Source organism: Homo sapiens, chromosome X (assembly GCF_000001405.40).
Source record: "Homo sapiens chromosome X, GRCh38.p14 Primary Assembly".
In the NCBI taxonomy this organism is placed as follows: domain Eukaryota; kingdom Metazoa; phylum Chordata; class Mammalia; order Primates; family Hominidae; genus Homo; species Homo sapiens.
In genome coordinates, this window is record NC_000023.11 from 54,320,699 (window position 1) to 54,339,088 (window position 18,390).

At 40.4% G+C, this 18,390-nt stretch overlaps 1 protein-coding gene across 22 annotated transcripts in view, besides 1 other annotated feature; it reads right to left on the reverse strand.

Moving 5' to 3' along the window:
• The window catches only part of WNK3 (WNK lysine deficient protein kinase 3), a 166,078-nt gene that overhangs the window by 127,876 nt on the left and 19,812 nt on the right, over positions 1–18,390 (reverse strand). For all 22 annotated transcript variants that reach the window (XM_047442382.1, XM_047442379.1, XM_017029744.2 and 19 more), the window contains exon 2: positions 12,439–13,094. In XM_047442382.1, coding sequence (XP_047298338.1) covers positions 12,439–12,975 — 537 coding nt within the window. In that variant the 5' untranslated portion in view covers positions 12,976–13,094. The remainder of the gene's footprint in view (positions 1–12,438; positions 13,095–18,390) is intronic.
• Positions 3,244–3,444: a silencer, noted in NCBI's record as "peak7382 fragment used in MPRA reporter construct". NCBI's record gives its function as "represses an SCP1 promoter by STARR-seq MPRAs in K562 erythroleukemia cells {active_cell/tissue: K562}" and the evidence as "EXISTENCE:reporter gene assay evidence [ECO:0000049][PMID:32103011]".

Here is an 18,390-nt window from a genome sequence, read left to right on the forward strand (position 1 = left end):
TTTTTTTTTCTTTCTGTGGAGATGAGCCCTTGCTATGTTGACCAGGCTGGTCTTGAATTCCTATCCTCAAGCTATTCTCCTGCCTCAGCTTGAATATTCTTGATAAACATGAGGTTGCTCAGTATTTTAACACTACCATTTATTGAACACTAAAATGCGTCACATGCTTTAAAAGTAATCTCTCTAATCCTCAATGTTTTCTTTTCTTTTTTTTTTGAGATGGAGTCTTGCTCTGTCACCCAGGCTGGAGTGCAATGGCATGATCTGGGCTCACCGCAACCTCCACCTCCCGGGTTCAAGCAATTCTCCTGCCTCAGCCTTCTGAGTAGCTGGGATTACAGGCATGCGCCACCATGCGCCGCTAATTTTGGTATTTTTAGTAGAGGAGGAGTTTCGCCATGTTGGCCAGGCTGATCTCGAATGTCTGACCTCAGGTGATCCACCCACCTCAGCCTCCCACAGTGCTGGGATTACAGGCGTGAGCTACCGCCCCCAGCCAATGTTTTATTTCTTAAACTGGGCAGTAGGTACACAGTTTCCATTATGTTACTCTTTATTCTTTTTAGTACATCCAAAGTATTTATCATGTTTTTCTTTAAAAGAAAAGTAAAAAATTAAGGCTCCAGTTAAACTATCTGGCTTACCCAAGGTACCTAACTGGCACAGGCAACACTGGAACCCCGTACGCTGAATTCTGAATCCAAAGCACTTTCTGGTTCACTACTCTGCCTCTCAGAAACAGCAGTCATGGCAATGAGTGCAGATATCTCATTCACAAACCACTTTCCATGGAGAGATGGTGTAGTACCCCAGAACTCATGCTAAATGAAATAAACAGACACTGAGGATAACGATAATTTGTAAAAGGTGACATCAACATATCAATTAAGAAATCACGGTATAATAGTCATAATCTGGTCATATTACCATACTAAAGCTTTGAGACAGCAATGGTATTAATACCTAAAGAAAAGTGCTTGGCTGAGCGCGGTGGCTCACACCTGTAATCCCAACACTTTGGGAGGCTGAGGCGGGTGGATCACCTGAGGTCAGGAGTTCGAGACCAGCCTGGCCAACATGGTGAAACCCCATCTCTACTAAAAATACAAAAATTAGCTGGGCGTGGTAGCGCATGCCTATAATCCCAGCTACTCGAGAGGCTGAGGCAGGAAATTCGCTTGACCCGGGAGGCAGAAAATTCGCTTGACCCCGGAGGCAGAGGTTGCAGTGAGCCGAGATCACGCCATCGCACTCCAGCCTGAGTGACAGAGCAAGACTCCATCCCAAAAAAAAAAAAAAAGAAAGAAAAAAGAAAAGTGCTCACAAGTGGTAGTCAAGGTAATAAATCAAAAGGCAATAAACCATGCATAGAACCAGGTTCACTTATCTTCCAGAACTGCTGATCAAAGATGTCCTCATCCAATCAGAATGTGAGCATTCGGTTCATTTGGTCAGGCTCTTGCCTTAGCAGGAGGACATACAGGAACATCTAGCTCCTTTGTTCCGACTCTATAAGCACCAAGCCAGCTTCTGATTATAATTTAGCTCCCCATGTAACTAGCCTAAAGACTATATAGAACATTTTACCTAACAACTATATTTCTCATTTTAAAATAATAAACTTGTATCCTAGATTTAGGAGCTGGAGTGAACACAAGTCAGTCTCCCCAACTCCCCAACCTCTGGACATTGACAAAAGGTGAAGGCCAGATACTGAACCATGACCATCTAATCACGAAACTATTCCTCAGGTGCCCTTCAATGACACCATTAACTGACATCCCTTGAGTTTCGGTAGTTCAATGTTAAGAATCTTAAACAGGATCCGTTTAAGAAATCATTTGTTCTAAAATGGTTAAAAACATAAAAGAATGATCTGCCCAAGTAACTAGTGAGTGGGAAATTCTTCAATCATCTATGTAAATGCTTTACATAGATATAATTGATGGAATACAAATCCTGACTCTGCTCCATTGGGAAAATTGCTTAACATATCTAAATTTCAGTTCCACCATCTGAAAACTAATAATCCTTATCTCATATACCTATTCTAAGGATTAAATAAAATATTCAAATTAAGTACCAGTATAAATGTTCCATTAATGTTAATTTTGATAATGGAAAATATATGATACCTGCTATTACTAACTATACCAAAGTATCTCAACCATAAATTCTCCTATTGTTGGGTTTCCAGAAACTTAACAGGTATACTGGGGAGAAATCACATAAAACTAACAGGTTAATGCCAATTAATAAATGCAGAAGGAATGTGAGAAAAAAATCATTAGAACACTACAGTTATAATGATGACATGCAAGATACACCAACGGATGCTAAAATCAGCGGGCAAAAGTTTAAAAGAAAACAGTATATTTGCATAGTCTCAAAGATCTACCCCCAAGATATTTACTAATATACAACAGGAAAAACAGTAACTTTACAGGAGAGAAAGCCTGGCAGATACCACCTTAACCAAGTGATCAAGATTATTATCACCAGTAATACAAAACAACACCATGTACCCCCAGTTATGATGCACTGAGGATGGTGCATCACTTCTGTGGTATTCCTGCCAAAAATGCATAGTCTAAATCTAAGCATGAGAAAACATAAGACAAAGTCAAATTAAGGGGCAATCTAAAAAACAACTAAGGGGCAATCTAAAAAACAACTAAGGGCCAAGCATGGTGGCTCACACCTGTAATCCCAGCACTTTGGGAGGCCGAGGCAGGAGGAATGCTTGAGGCCAGGAGTTAGAGATCAGCCTGTTCAGCATAGCAAGACCCCATCTCTACCAAAAATAAAAATACAAGATATTAACATAAAGGGAGTCTGGGTGATGGGTATACAGGAACTTTCTATACTCTTTTTGCAACTCTTCTGTGAGTAGAAAATATATCAAAATAAAAAGTTTTTAAAAAAGAAAACTATGTAATAAAGGAGTGGTATCCCTGTTGCCCCCTACTGTCAACCCTACCATTTCCTTTAAACAAACCTATATTAAACAGCCCTTTCATCATTTCACGAACTCCAATTTCTAAGCCTTCTTATAACTGTAAACTCCTTCTACTGTAAGCTTTGTGAAAATGAGGCCTGTGTCTGCTTTTTCTCCCCATTATGTCCCTAGCACTTGGCATGTGTCTGGCACATTGCAGGTACTATTTATTTGTTGAATGAACAAATGGCAGCTATAGTCTATTGTATTCATTTCCTATTGCTACTGTAACAAATTACAACAAACACAGTGGCTTAAAACAGAAATGTATTATCTGCTAGTTGTAGGGATTAAGAAATCCAAATTGAGTCTCTCTAGACTAAAATCAAGGTATCAGGAGGGCTGCATTCCTGTGAAGACTCTAGAGAAGAATGTTTCCTTATCTTTTCCAGCTTCTGGAGACTGTCCACATTCGTTGGCTCATTGTCAGCAACTGCATCACTCCAGCCTCTGCTTCCATCATCAGATCTCCTCCTCTGACTATGGCCATTCTGCCTCCCTCTTATAAGGACCCTTGTGATTACACTGGGTCCACCCAGATAATCCAGGGTAATCTTCCAATCCCTAGATCTTTAAGTTAATCGCATCTGCAAAGTCCTTTTTGAAATGTAAGATGACATATTCACAGGTTCCAGGGATTAGGACATGGACATCTTTGGGGGGCTATTTTCAGCTTACCACATGTATCAATTTTTTAAATCTATCAAGCAAATAATTAGCTCAAAACTAACTCACTCAACTAACTGGGGAAATTAATGCTATTTCCCAGACAAAGGCTATCTCCTGCCACTCCCACCCTTTGTCATTTTGTAAAAGCATTTGCCTTTGGTTTATATTTAATAAAGTTCGTGACTAGTTTTTAAACAGAGATGAGAACATGTATATTTAAGCAAGCTCTATCCCTCCTCCCTTCAATGTAATCACGCTTTGTCCATGACTGAATTCTACTTTTAGGGCTGGATCTGATGAAGAGAGTGGGAAATCAAACTGAATCAGACTATTTGGCGTGTGCCTATAATGTAATGAAGCACTTTCTTACACGGCTAAACAGAATCCAGAAACATTTCCAAGAGGGACATAAAAATATTTGGGGAGCAAAATTAAATGTCCCAGTGCGAATACTGTAAACAACTATATTCAGAAACAGAAATTCTAGCATCTTTTTAAATTACTTTTTCCTTTATTGGAAATTCAACTGTTTTCGTATCTAATTCTAATTTCACAATCAAATGTAATAGGGCTAATGTCTCAAAATATAGTTTTCCCCAAAGTATACTTAGATGATGAATGAAAATAAAATAGAAATAAGTTCTTCCACAATTTTGATAGATGCTTCAGGTGTGGAAGTATGGATTTTTAAGCTGTTACTTCCACTGCATTGCTTTGAGTATATTCATTACTATAATGAAAGTATATTAGAATGCTCACTCAACGTGTCAACCTGCTATACTCTATTGTGCCATTTTTTTCCTTTTGGTATTTCTTTTCAGTGTCATGTTTGGTTCGGTTAACAGGCTATAGCTCGAGTTGTTAGATATCTAAGTGCTATTCAAAGGTCTGTTACCCTCCAAAGTACACAATCACATATCTGACCACAGAGTGAGGCTTATTACAAGCACACTCAAATACATTTCAGAAAAAGTCAACAAAACATATTTCAAATCTCTATGATGTTTCTATATTTAGAAAAAAGTTCCATTGGCCGGGCGTTGTGGCTCACGACTGTAATCCCAGCACTTTGGAAGGCCGAGACGGGTGGATCACTTGAAGTCAGGAGTTCAAGACTAGCCTGGCCAAAATGGTGAAACCCAGTCTCTACTAAAAACACAAAAATTAGCTGGGCATGGTAGCACATGCCTGTAATCCCAGCAACTCAGGAGGCTGAGACAGGAGAATCGCTTGAACCCGGGAGGCGGAGGTTGCAGTGAGCCAAGATCATGCCATTGCACTCCAGCCTGGGCAACAAGAGCGAAACTCCCTCTCAAAAAAAAAAAAAAAAAAAAAAAAAAAGGAAATAGTTCCATTATATGAAGAAAACAAATGATAAATGTACTGGTGTAAGTATTTTCCAACTCATCATAGAGCAAAAACTGGTTGTATTTCCATGTGTAAAAGCTAAGTGATGTTAATTTTCAAATTGTTAGTGGAGGAAGAAACTATTACAAACTCCTGTGACTGATTCTTTCTGAGAGTTGCTAAACTGGTCTTTCAGTAACATGTGACCAAGTCTTTCAACATCATAAACTAAAATATAGTCTTCTAAATAGCACTTACGACTTATAGCCCTCACTCACAGTAATTTACTAATTTACCAAGTAATCACCAAGTAATTTACCAAAGTTTTTACAAAGAACAATAGGTCAAAGTCTTTCCATTAATTTTTGTTTGTTTGTTTGATTTTTTTTTTTTTTTGAGATGAAGTCTCGCTCTGTTGCCCAGGCTGGAGTGCAGTAGCGTGATCTCAGCTCACTGTAAGCTCCGCCTCCTGGGTTCACGCCATTCTCCTGCCTCAGCCTCCCGAGTAGCTGGGACTACAGATGCCCGCCACTACACCCGGCTAATTTTTTGTATTTTTAGTAGAGACGAGATTTCACTGTGTTAGCCAGGATGGTCTCAATCTCCTGACCTCGTGATCCGCCTGCCTCGGCCTTCCAAAGTGCTGGGATTACAGGCGTGAGCCACCGCACCAGGCCCCATTAATATATTTTTTAAATAAAGTTATGGGAGCCAGGTACAGTGGCTCATGCCTGTAATCCCAGTGTTTTTGGAGGCCAAGGTAGGAGGATCACTTGAACCCAGGAGTTCAAGACTAGCCTGAGCAACATAGCAAAACCCCATCTCTACAAAAATTAAAGACTGGGTGCAGTGGCTCATGCCTGTAATTCCAGAACTTTGAGAGGCCAAGGCAGGAGAATCACTTGAGCCCAGGAGTTTGAGACCAGCCCAAGCAACATAGTGAGACCCTGCCTCTAAAAAAAAATAATAAAATTAAAATGAAAGAAATTATAGCCGGGTGCAGTGGCTCACACCTGTAATCCTGTACTTTGGGAGACTGAGGCAGGCAGATCACTTGAGGTCAGGAGATCGAGACCATCCTGGCTAACACAGTGAAACCCCGTCTCTACTAAAAATACAAAAAATTAGCTAGGTGTGGTGGCAAGCGCCTGTAGTCCCAGCTACTCGGGAGGCTGAGACAGAAGAATTGCTTGAACCCAGGAGGCAGAGGTTGCAGTGAGCCGAGATCATGCCACTAGGAAGTCTGAGCGGGGAAGACTGATGGAGCATAGGAGTTTGAGGTTGCAGTGAGCTACAACATGCCATTGCATTCCAGCCTGGGCAACAGAGCAAGACCTTGTCTCTTAAAAAAATCAAGTTATGGAAACCATAAAATATGAAAAACTTGAAATGCAGGTGTTTATAGCCAAATCCTAAATCTGAGAGTTTGTTTTCAACATCCTCAAAGTCAAATATCAGCAGTAAAATTTATCGCTCCCAGTTCTTTGCAGCACCATAAGGTCAATGTATTCTAAACAAATGGAGTGGGGCTGTTAAGAATTATTACACAATTTGCCTTTGCTTTGTTGGTGATAAAAAAGACAGAATTAGGCTGGGCATGGTGGCTCATGTCTGTAATCTCAGCACTCTGAGAGGCAGAGACAGGAGGACCTCTAGAAGCCAGGAGTTCGAGACTGGCCTGGACAACATAATGAGACTGTCTCTACAAAAAGCAAACAAACAGAATTATTTCACAAGACTCAAATATCCACAATGGGGAAGAAGGGAATGCCATCAAGAGAAAAAGGTATTAAAACCTATTGTTGAGCTATAAATTTCAAATCAAACACGCAAAAATAAAATTTAAAAAAAAGAAAAGTACCAGGTACAGTGGCTTGTGCCTGTAGTCCCAGCTACTTGGTTGGCCAAGGCAGGAGGATCACTTGAGCCCAGGACTTCAAGACCAATCTGGCAGACAGAGTGAGACTCTGTCTCTAAAAATCAAAAGGCCAGGTGGTGGTGGCTCATGCCTGTAATCCCAGCACTTTGGGAGGCCGAGACGGGCAGATCACTTGAGGCCAGCCTGGGCAACATGGCAAAACCCCGTCTCTACAAAAAATACAAAAATTAGCCAGGCATGGTGACACACATCTGTGGTCCCAGCTACTAGGGAGGCTGAGGTGGGAGAATCAATTAAGCCCACAAGGTCAAGGCTACAGTGAGCTGTGATCATTACCACTGCACTCCAGCCTGGGTGACAGAGGGAGACCCTGTCTCAAAAAATAAAAAAGAAAAAAAAAAAGAAAAGAATTACCTAACATTAGGGGAGAAAATTAAGCAAGAGGTAGTGTCAATGCTATAGTTTATATATTTTAATAATGGTAATAAATAGAACATATATCAAATTGATAAGACAAAAGTATGGACATATCAATTATATATATATTATATATACAATCTCGCACACACATATAAAAAAAGAATGAAAAAGAATCTAGAATAATTTAGACATTCAAACTGCTCACTGGGGTCTTCTTCTACAGACTTGTTTAATTATATAATAAATAAGACTGTAGAAGAAGAATGAGAAATTGTACATTACAAACTGCATTGTACTCAGGAAGTAATTCAAAGATGATGCCCCTTATTCTCCTGGGATTATAAATAAGCTAGTTTTTCTTAATTTCAAATATGCAGGCTGGGCACGGTGGCTCATGCCTGTAATTCCAGCATTTTGGGAGGCTAAGGCATCTCTACAAAATATTTCAAAAAAAAAAAAATTAGCTGGGGATGGTGGCCTATGCCTGTAGTCCTGGCTATTCGGGAGGATCCTGAGCCCAGGCATTCGAGGTTACAGTGAGCTATGATCATGCCACTGTACTCTAGCCTGGGCAACAGAGCAAGACTTTGCCTTTAAAAAAAAAAAAGGAGAAGACGAAGCAATATCCAAAAACTGATTAAATAAGTCCACTAATTCTGACATTCCTTTTAGAACAGAAAATTACAATTGTTGTTTTCTGTGTAAATTAAAATGTACTTTATATATTACATTTCCTCCACATTAGAGATTCTGAAATCTGGCTATGTATCCAATCACCTAGGGAACTTTTTTTTGAGACAGGGTCTCATTCTGTCACCCAGGGTGGAGTGCAGTGGGGCACAATCACAACTCACTGCAGCCTCAAACTCTGGGGCTCAAGTGACTCTCCTGCCTCAACCTTCTGAGTAGCTAGGACTATAGGTGAGCACCACCATGCCCAGCATCTTGGGAACTTTTAAACAGTAAGTTCCTGGAGCTCATCTCCTAAAGATTCCAATTTGAGAAGTCTGGACTGGAAGCCGGAAATCAGAATACATAATATAATATAAAGATCATGTTAGTGTATTAAAGGAATGCCTACTGTGTTTCAGCTAGCTTTTGGGTTTGGTCCCATATTTCAAGTGCTTCCCAAACTCTACTTAACTGTGCATACAAATCACTTGGATGTGTTACCAAAAGTCAGATTCTGATTCAGAATGTCTGGAATGAGGCCTGGGAATATGCAGTTCTGACAAGCTCCCAGGTGATGTCCATGCTGCTGGTCCAGGGACCACACTTCGAGTAGTAAGACCTTATGAGATTTTTAAACCTTTCCAGAGGTGAATGATAGAAGTCAGTATCCTACAGCCAGGTGCGGTGGCTCACGCCTGTACTCCCAGCACTTTGGGAGGCCAAGGCGGGCAGATCACCTGAGGTCCGGAGTTCAAGACCAGCCTGGCCAGTATGTTGAAACCTGCCTCTACTAAAAATACAAAAATTAGCCGGGCATGGTGGTACATGCCTGTAATCCCAGCTACTCGGGAGGCTGAGGCAAGAGAATCGCTTGAACCCAGGAGGCTGGAACCCAGGAGGTTGCAGTGAGCCGAGATTGCACCACAGCACTCCAGCCTGGGCAACAGAGCAAGACTCTGTCTTAAAAAAAAAAAAAAAGTCAGTATCCTATGCAGTTTCTCCCACTGAAATATTTTCAAGTTTTACCTAAACATCCTTTAACATAACTAGAGTACACAGCTTGCAAAATGACTGACTTATCTTTACTATGTACCCTACTACCAAGTGAATGGAAATTATTTCCCTCATTTACAGATGGTATCATGCAAAGTTGAGTGCTACTGATGTCACAATGCAGAGATGAAATTAAAATTTACATAACTTTCAATATTATACACAAGGATGTTCATCATAGCCATGGTTATAATAGTAAAATAGTAGAGAGGAAAAACCTTGGCAGGCTACAGTGGCTCATGCCTATAATCCCAGCATTTTGGGAAGCCGAAGTGGAAGGAGCACTTGAGCCTAGAAGTGTGAGACCAGCTTGGGCAAAATAGTAAGACTTCATTTCCACAAAAAATAAAAACACGGCCAGGCATGGTGGCTCACGCCTGTAATCCCAGCACTTTGGGAGGCCGAGGCAGGCAGATCACAAGGTCAGGAGTTCGAGACCAGCCTGGCCAATATGGTGAAACCCCTATCTCTACTAAAAATACAAAAATTAGCCAGGCGTGGTGGCACACACCTGTAGTCCCAGCTACTAGGGAGGCTGAGGCAGAATAATCACTTGAACCTGGGAGGTGGAGGTTGCAGTGAGCCGAGATTGTGCCACTGCACTCTACCCTGGGCAACAGAGCAAGACTCCGTCTAAAACAAACAAACAAACAAACAAACAAAAAACACTATTACCTGAGTGTGGTGGCACACATCCGCAGTCCCAGCTACTAGGGAGGCTGAGGTGGGAGGATCACTTGAGCCCAGGACGTTAAGGCTTCAGTGAGCCAAGACAGCGCCACTGCATTCCAGCCTAGATGACGGCGTGAGATTATGTCTCCCAAAAAAATAAAAGGCCCTACATATCCAACAATATGGGACTGCTTAAATAACCTAGAAGAACCTTATAATGAAATAGTAGGCATCTATTTTAAAAAAATTATGTAGGCCAGGCACAGTGGCTGACGCCTGTAATCCCAGCACCGTGGGAGGCCAAGGCAGGCAGATGGCTTGAGCCCAGGAGTTTGAGACCAACCAGGGCAACACGGCAAAACCCATCTCTACTAAAAATACAAAAACAAACCTGCACGTTGTGCACATGTATCCTAAAACTTAAAGTATAATAAAAAAAAAATACAAAAACAAAATTAGCCAGGAGTGGTGGCACACACCTGTAGTCCCAGCTACTCGAGAGGCTGAAGTGGGAGAATTGCTTCAGCCTGGGAGGTGGAGGTTACAATGAGCCGAGATCATGCCACTGCACTCCAGCCTGGGCAAAAGAGTGAGACTCTGTCTCAAAAAATAAAATTAAAAAATTAATAAAATAAATAAAAAATAAAAAATGGGGGTGGGTGGGAGGAGGGAGAGCATCAGGAAGAACAGCTAATGGATGCTGGGCTAAATACCTAGGTGATGGGATGATTTATGCAGCAAACCACCATGGCACACGTTTACCTATGTAACAAACCTGCACATCCTGCACATGTACCTCTGAACTTAAAATTTGGAAATCAAAAAATAAAATTTAAAAAGAAAAAAAATTATGTAAATATACACTAACAAAAATAAATAAATAAATATACACTTACAGATAATGAAAAGAGATTCAAGATAAGTGAAAATAAAGATTATAAAATTTTATAGAAAGATATATGTGTGTGTGTGCATATATATATATATATATACACACATACATATACCAGAAAGATGTATATACTAAAATGTTTAAAGCCTTGTACTCAAAGTACTGGAATTTTAGGTCATTCTGATGCTTGCTTGCCTGCATTATCTAATATTTCTACTACAATGTATACCATATAAAATTCTTAAAGGGTAAAAAGCAGGTGAGAAGAAAACCAAGCAAACTCCACACATGCACATACCTTTCGAGGCCCACCGGAATGGGTCTGACTGATAAGTAACTTGCTTTCTAAAGAGTGTTCAAGGGACTCCCTAAATTAGAAGCACTTAGAAAGTTTTTAAAAATTGCAGTCTTGCACCCCAATCCAGATTTATTGAATCAGAATTTGTACCAACGGGCCCTAGAGTTTGCATATGAAGCAAATACTGACTCTTATAAACAGTAAAGTTTGGAAACCATGGCATTAAACAAAAAGCTTCCTAGAAATGCAGAAACCTGGACTAAATTCCAACCTATCTGAACAGCAACCTACAGCAAATTCAGAATGAGTGAAATCATGGTGTTTTCATACATATACACCTACACTCACGGAGACCACTGGAATTTGAGCAACAGAAACCTGTTCTTAGCAACTGGCTTTATTCCATCCTAATTTTAAGCATCCCATGTGATCAATAACCAACCATTTCCTATGGGCTGACTGAGGTCACAGAGGTTTTCCTTATATTTGACCCACATCTGTCTAAAACTTCTCATTATAACCCCTTCTATGATGTTCTGTCCCTATTTAGTTCTTCATTAATTAAAAGTACTACATGAACATTTATTATGGAACCAAATATGTAGGCAATTCAATCATTCTCCTGTTGCTTTCATTTCTCATTTCTAAACACATTCTAGCTGAATAACTTCAATAGATTCTGGTGATTATTTCTTCCAGAGATACTCTCTGAGGTAAACTCAAAGGCATCATGAGCTTCTATCAGTAAAGGTCCTCAAAGAATCAAGTAAAACCTTTCCTGTTCTGAAAAACACCACATGAACCCCCAAGATTTTATTGAAAGAAAAAGAGAAAAGGTATATGCCACACTGAATATATTTCCCTATCACATTCTCAAGTACTTAGTATAACAATCAACTCATAAGTCATATATTTATGAAAAGTTTTCAAAAGGAGACATTAAGAGTTTGGGGACTTTCCTAAAGCTAACAAATTAAAACAATTTTTCCAAAAGAAAGTCATGATAGGCCAGGAGCCATGACTCATGCCTGTAATCCCAACACTTTGGGAGGCCAAGGCGGGAGGATCACCTGAGGTCAGGAGTTCAAGACCAGCCTGCTCAACATGGTGAAACCCTGTCTCTACTAAAAAACCAAAAAATTAGCGGGGCGTAGTGGCGTGCACCTGTAATCCCAGCTATTTGGGAGGCTGAGGCGGCAGAGGTTGCAGTGAGCCGAGACTGCACCACTGCACTCCAGCCTGGGTGACAGATCAAGATTCCGCCTCAAAAAAAAAAAAAAAGAAAAAAGAAAAAGAAAAACAAAGCCATGATAGATTTTTTTTTCTTCCCCTTTAAAACAGAAAAGAAAACAACAGGAGAAAAAAAAGTTTGGAGTGAGCTCCTAAGAGGATATAGGAAAGGACCATAATTTCTAGGATGTGGGGGACAAGCCCTTTATTTTATTTTAATCCATGATACATGGATAATCATGAATCACACAGAAGGCCAGGCCAGCTAAAACTTGAATTTATTATAACCAAGAAGATTATATACCTACCTGCAGCTCACACCAAGCAACCTCAACCCATGTTTCAGTGTCCAGTCCTTTATATACTGTTTTAAATGCTCCTCTTCCTAGTTCTATGTCAAATTTCAGGAATCTGCCACTAGGAGAAGTAGCTACAGCCTTCATTTCTGCTTCTTCTTCCATTTCCTTTTCATTTTTCTCCTTGAAACAATCTTTTGAGATTTCTGAGGTTGACTTTGAACACTGTTCATATTTAACTTCTTGTCCACCTCTCAACACATTTGAAGGAAGCTTATCTACTCTTGGAATATTCATTGCAGCCTTAATTCTCTCATCTTTGGGGGATGATTCGGCAACTTTGTCATCTTCCGTCATTTCAACACTCTTTCGGAAAAATCTCTTCCTTTCTACAGTTTCCCCAGAAGCAGAGAAGGTACTGTTTTTCTCCTTTAGTCTAGCTTCTACTGTCAAAGTTGCAGCGACCTGGGGAACTCTGTTTTCAAATGAAATTCCATCAGGTTTCTCAGAATCTTCTGTGCTGGCTGGATCCCCTGAATCAGTGGCCATTGTAATTAAAGTTGGCACTAAAATTTTTCCTGTTTCTACTCTTCAGTCCAGTTACATCTCAGGTATCAGAATTATCAGAATGGACTTCCTTTTGCGTGGTCATGTATTTCCATAGCAACCTGAAGGGGGGGAAAAAGATATTTTAAAATCACCCTACAAAGGAAATCATTAAGGAGAAAACAAATCACCTGATTTTTTAATCCCTTTTTCCTTAATAAGAAGTTTATTCTTTTTTCTGTCCAATCTTAGGAACCAGCAGACTCTAGGGACTGTGTCTTATCTTGTTTACCATTAGTCCTCAGTGTCTAGCAGACTACTTAGTATATAGCTCAATCTGTCTTCATATTGCATGAATATTGGTTAGAAACCTAGTTCTCAGCTCCATCTGTCAATCCATCAAATTCAAAATGAGTACCCAAACCCTGAGTTCACTTAGCCACAATGTGACAAACACAGTAAGTAAAACAACCACATGGTTTCTAGGTGGTTTTTGTCTAAAATTCTGGAATTCATCAATAGTAGTTTCTTTTACTGTACTAAAATATACATATCGTCAAATTTACCATTTTAACCATTTTTAATTATACAATTCAGTGGTGTTAAGTACATTCACAGTGTTGTGCAATCATCACTACTATCCATGCCCAGAGCTTTTTAATCATCCCAAATTGAAACTCTGTACCAGTTAAACAATGATTCCCTATCAGCCCCCACCCACCCCTGGTAACTTCTACTTTCTGTCTCTATGAATTTGCTTATTCTAGGTAATTCATATAAATGGAATCAGACCACATTTGTCCTTTTGTGTCTGGCCTATTTCACTTAGTATAATATTTTCAAGGTCCACTGATGTTGTAGCATGTATCAGAATTTCATTCCTTTTTAAGGCTGAATAATATTCCATATGTTATAGACCACATTTTGTTCATCCCATTCATCTGCCAATGGATTGGATTGCTTCCACCTTTTGACTATTGTGAATGTTGCTGCTATAAACATCCAACAGCAATTTGAAATAATGCAAATATTTATAAGCTTGCCTTCAGATTTTAACAGAAACTATTGTCAAATATTAATACACTATCCTAAAACAATAGCAAGAAAGACTCAAAACCACGTATTCTTTTAAACTAGCAATTCTACTTATAGGAACTTGCCTTAGAAAATAGTCAAGAATCTGTGCAAAGATTTAACTATAAAGATGTTCATTCTAGCACTTATGGAAAAAACTAAACATAAGCCTAATTGGTGTTTAATTAAGTATCTCAAAATGAGGTATGCCACAACATTAAAAATAACACTGTAGGCTGGGCACGGTGGCTCACACCTGTAATCCCAGCACTTTGGGAGGCCGAGGCGGGCAGATCACTTGAGGTCAGGAGTTCGAGACCAAACCAGCCTGGTTTAGTGAAACCCTGACTCTACTAAAAATACAAAAAAATTTAGCAGGGTGTGGTGGCGGGCACCTGTAATCCCAGCTACCCGGGAGGCTTAGGCAGGAGAATCACTCGAACCTGGGAGGCTGAGGTTGCGCCACTGCACTCCAGCCTGGGCGACGGAGACTCTGTCTCAAAAAACAAAACAACAACAACAACAATAAAACACTGTAGTCTTCAGTGAGATAAAAGACGTTCCCTATATATTATATGGTTAAATGTAAAAAGGAATATATACAAGCTTACAGACATAATTCTGAAATTATGGATTTTTCTTTCTGCTTTTTTGTATTTTCTAAAACTTTGCACAATAAACATGTGAAAATATGTGGGAAAAAGTTTTTCAAGTGAGTAGTCAAACCACCAATAAGAAAATGCTTCCCTTCTCACCACAATCATGCACTGCAAAGTTAAGCCTGTATACTTCTTACTATGTTACGCACCTCAAAGGGCGCAGTTTGTCACAAAGATTTGTTAAGAATTATGTCAAACCAAAAATGCACAGAAATATCAATTTGAGAAGCTGAAGAAAAAAAACCTTGAACTAAAATAAACAAAATAAAAATAAAATAAAACAAACAAAATAGAGACAAATACTCCAAGTTGTTCTACACATTCAACTCACTTCATCAAAATTCCAGCTGGTTTCTTTGCAGAAAACATCAAGCTAATCCTAAAATGCATATAGAATGTCAAGGGACCCATAATAATCAAAGCTAATACAATCTTGAAAAAGAACAAATTTGGAGGATCCATACTCCTTAACAACCTACTACAAAGGTACAGTATTAAGACAGTATGGTTCTGGCATAAGAATAGATGTATAGATAAATGGAATAAAAATTGAGTTCAGAAATAAAGCCATATTATTTATGGTTAATTGATTTTCAACAAGAATAGCCGGGTGCAGTGGCTCACGCCTGCAATCTTAGCACTTTGGGAGGCCAAGGTGGGTGGACTGCCTGAGCTCAGGAGTTCGAGACCATCCTGGGCAACATGGTGAAACCCCATCTCTATAAAATACAAAAAATTAACCAGGCATGGTGGCAGGTGCCTGTAGTCCCAGCTACTCGGGAGGCTGAGGCAGGAGAATCACTTGAACCTGGGCAGTGAAGGCTGTGAATCGCTTGAACCTGGGAGGTGGAGGATGCAGTGAGCTGAGATCTCACCACTGCACTCCAGCCTGGGTGACAGAGTGAGACTCTGTCTCACCCCTGCCCCACCCTCCCCATCCCCCCAAAAAAACCCACAAGGTTGCCAAGAAAATTCAGTGGGGGAAAGAATATTTTTTCCAACAAATGGTGCTGGGACAACTGGATATCCACATGCAAAAGAATGAAGTCAGATCCTCTAGTAAGTTTTTCTGGGAAAAAAAATGCCTGAGTTGAGTCTCAAAGAAAGATAATTAGCTGATCCAGGCAGAGGGAAGATCACAAGCAAAGGCATTAAACAGTATGGAGTAAGTGTATGAGTGGTATCATGAGCAGTTGTTTACATGTGTATCAGAAGAAGCAGACAGATGAGGACAGAGAGGCAGATAGACACCAGGGACTTCTATGCCATACAATGTAAAACAAGGAGACCCATTAAAAAGCTACTGCAACAATCCAGAAGAGATGATGAGGTTTGAATGAAAATAGTGGCAGGAGGGATAGGTTCAAAACACATTAGGGAACTACTAAATGCAAGAAAATTTACTGTCTGAATGAATATGGCTGTGAGGGAAAAGAAAGAGTCTTACGGTGACTCACAAAAATTTGCCAACCAGATGACATTACTAGGACATATCTATGTTAATACCAAAGCTAAGAACTGAACTCATGAAGGTCTCTATGAGGTTACATTGCCAAATCACTTCCAAAGTCACTTAATAAGACTAGTATTGTATGCAAGTGAAAAAAAGTTAACTAGTTTAACTCTTTATTCTGAAATAATTTTTGACTTGGGAAAAAAAAACCTGCAAGAGCATAAAAAGAATCCAGTATTCACCGACGTTCCCCAAATGTTAAACATTTTAGGTGAGATTTTAAACCTCAAGAGCAAAACTCCACAAGTTAGACAAAAGGGCATCTAAGCAAGGAGCCAAAAATAGTTAAGCCAGAGAATTTAAGTTGGAAAGCCTTCAAAATTTTTTTTACTACAGAACCTATTTAAAAAAAATAAAATCTTTGGCTGGGTGCGGTGGCTCACGCCTGTAATCCCAGCACTTTGGGAGGCCAAGGTGGGTGGATCATGAGGTCAGGAGTTCCAAGACCAGCCTGGCCAAGATGGTGAAACCTCATCTCTACTAAAAATACAAAAATTAGCTGAGTGTGGTGGCGGGTGCCTGTAATCTCAGCTACTCAGAGGCTGAGGCAGAGAATTGCTTGAACCCGGGAGGCAGAGGTTGCAGAGAGCCGAGATTGCGCCACTGCACGCTAGCCTGGGCGACAGAGCGAGACTAGTCTCAAATAAATAAATAAATAAATAAATAAATAAATAAATAAATAAAATATTTGAGGCCAGGTGCAATGGATTACGCCTGCAATCCCAGGTACTCAGGAGGCTGAGGCACAAGAATAGCTTGAACCCAGGAGGCAGAGGTTGTCGTGAGCCGAGATCACACCACTGCACTCAGGACTGGGTGACTGAGTGAGACCCTGTCTCAAAAATAAATAAAATAAAATAAAATCTTTGGCCAGACACAGTAGCTCATGCTTATAATCCCAGGAATTTGGGAGGCCAAGGAGGGAGGATTGCTTGAGCCCAGGAGTTTGAGACCAGCCTGGGCAACATGGCAAGACCCCATCTCTACAAAAAAATTACAAAATTAGCTGGGTATGTTGGCATGTGCCTGTAGCCCAAACTCCAGGAGGCTGAGGCAGGAGGATCCCTTGAGCCCAGGAGGACAAGGTTGTAGTAAGATTGACAGAGCCACTGCACTCTAGCCTGGGTGACAGAGACCTTGTCTCAAAACAAAACAAAAAAAACTTTGCCTTCAGGTCCATGGTGTTGGGAAAATTTTTTTTTAATTTAAAAACAATAGGCTGGGCTGGGCACGGTGGCTCACACCTATAATCCCAGCATTTTGGGAGGCCAGGGCAGGCCGGTTACCTGAGGTCAGAAGTTCTAGACCAGCCTGGCCAACATGGTGAAACCCCGTCTCTACTGAAAAATACAAAAATTAGCCAGGTGTGGTTGTGTATGCTTGTAATCCCAGCTACTTGGGAGGCTGAAGCTCAAGAATCGCTTGAACCCAGAATGCAGAGGTTGCAGTGAGCCAAGATCACGTCACCACATTCCAGCCTGGGCGACAGAGCAAGAACCTGTTTAAAAAAAAAAAAAATACTTAGCCAGGCATGGTGGCATGCACCTGTAGTCTTAGCTACCGGGGAGGCTGAGGTGGGAGGATCACCTGAGCCTGGGAAGTTGAGGCTGCAGTAAGCCACTACAGTCCAACCTGGGTGACAGAGTGAGACTCTGTCTCAAAAAAAATTAATTAATTAAAATAAAAAACAAAATAAAATCTTATTCAGACCCCTAATATAATAGAGGAGTGGCAAGTACTGGTGCTCTGGTATAATAATTCTAACACCTGGCTTCCCAAAGTATAGGATAAGAAGCAAATAAGACCTGGGCGTGGTGGCTCACACTTGTAAACCCAGCACTTTGGGAGGCTGAGGTGGGTGGATCACCTGAGGTCAGGAGTTTGAGACCACACTGGCCAACATGGTGAAACCCCATTTATATTAAAAATACAAAAATTAGCCGGGTGTGGTGGTACGTGCCTATAATCCCAGCTGCTCGGGAGGCTGAGGCATGAGAATAGCTTGAATCTGGGAGGCAGAGGCTGCAGTGAGCCAAGACCATGCCACTGCACTCCAGCCTGGGTGACAGAGCAAGACTCTGTCTCAAAAAAAAAAAAAAAAAGAAGCAAATAAGAAGGATGAAGAAAGAAATCTTCCCTCAGTCTTTTAAAAACCAGTACCCTAAGACAAAA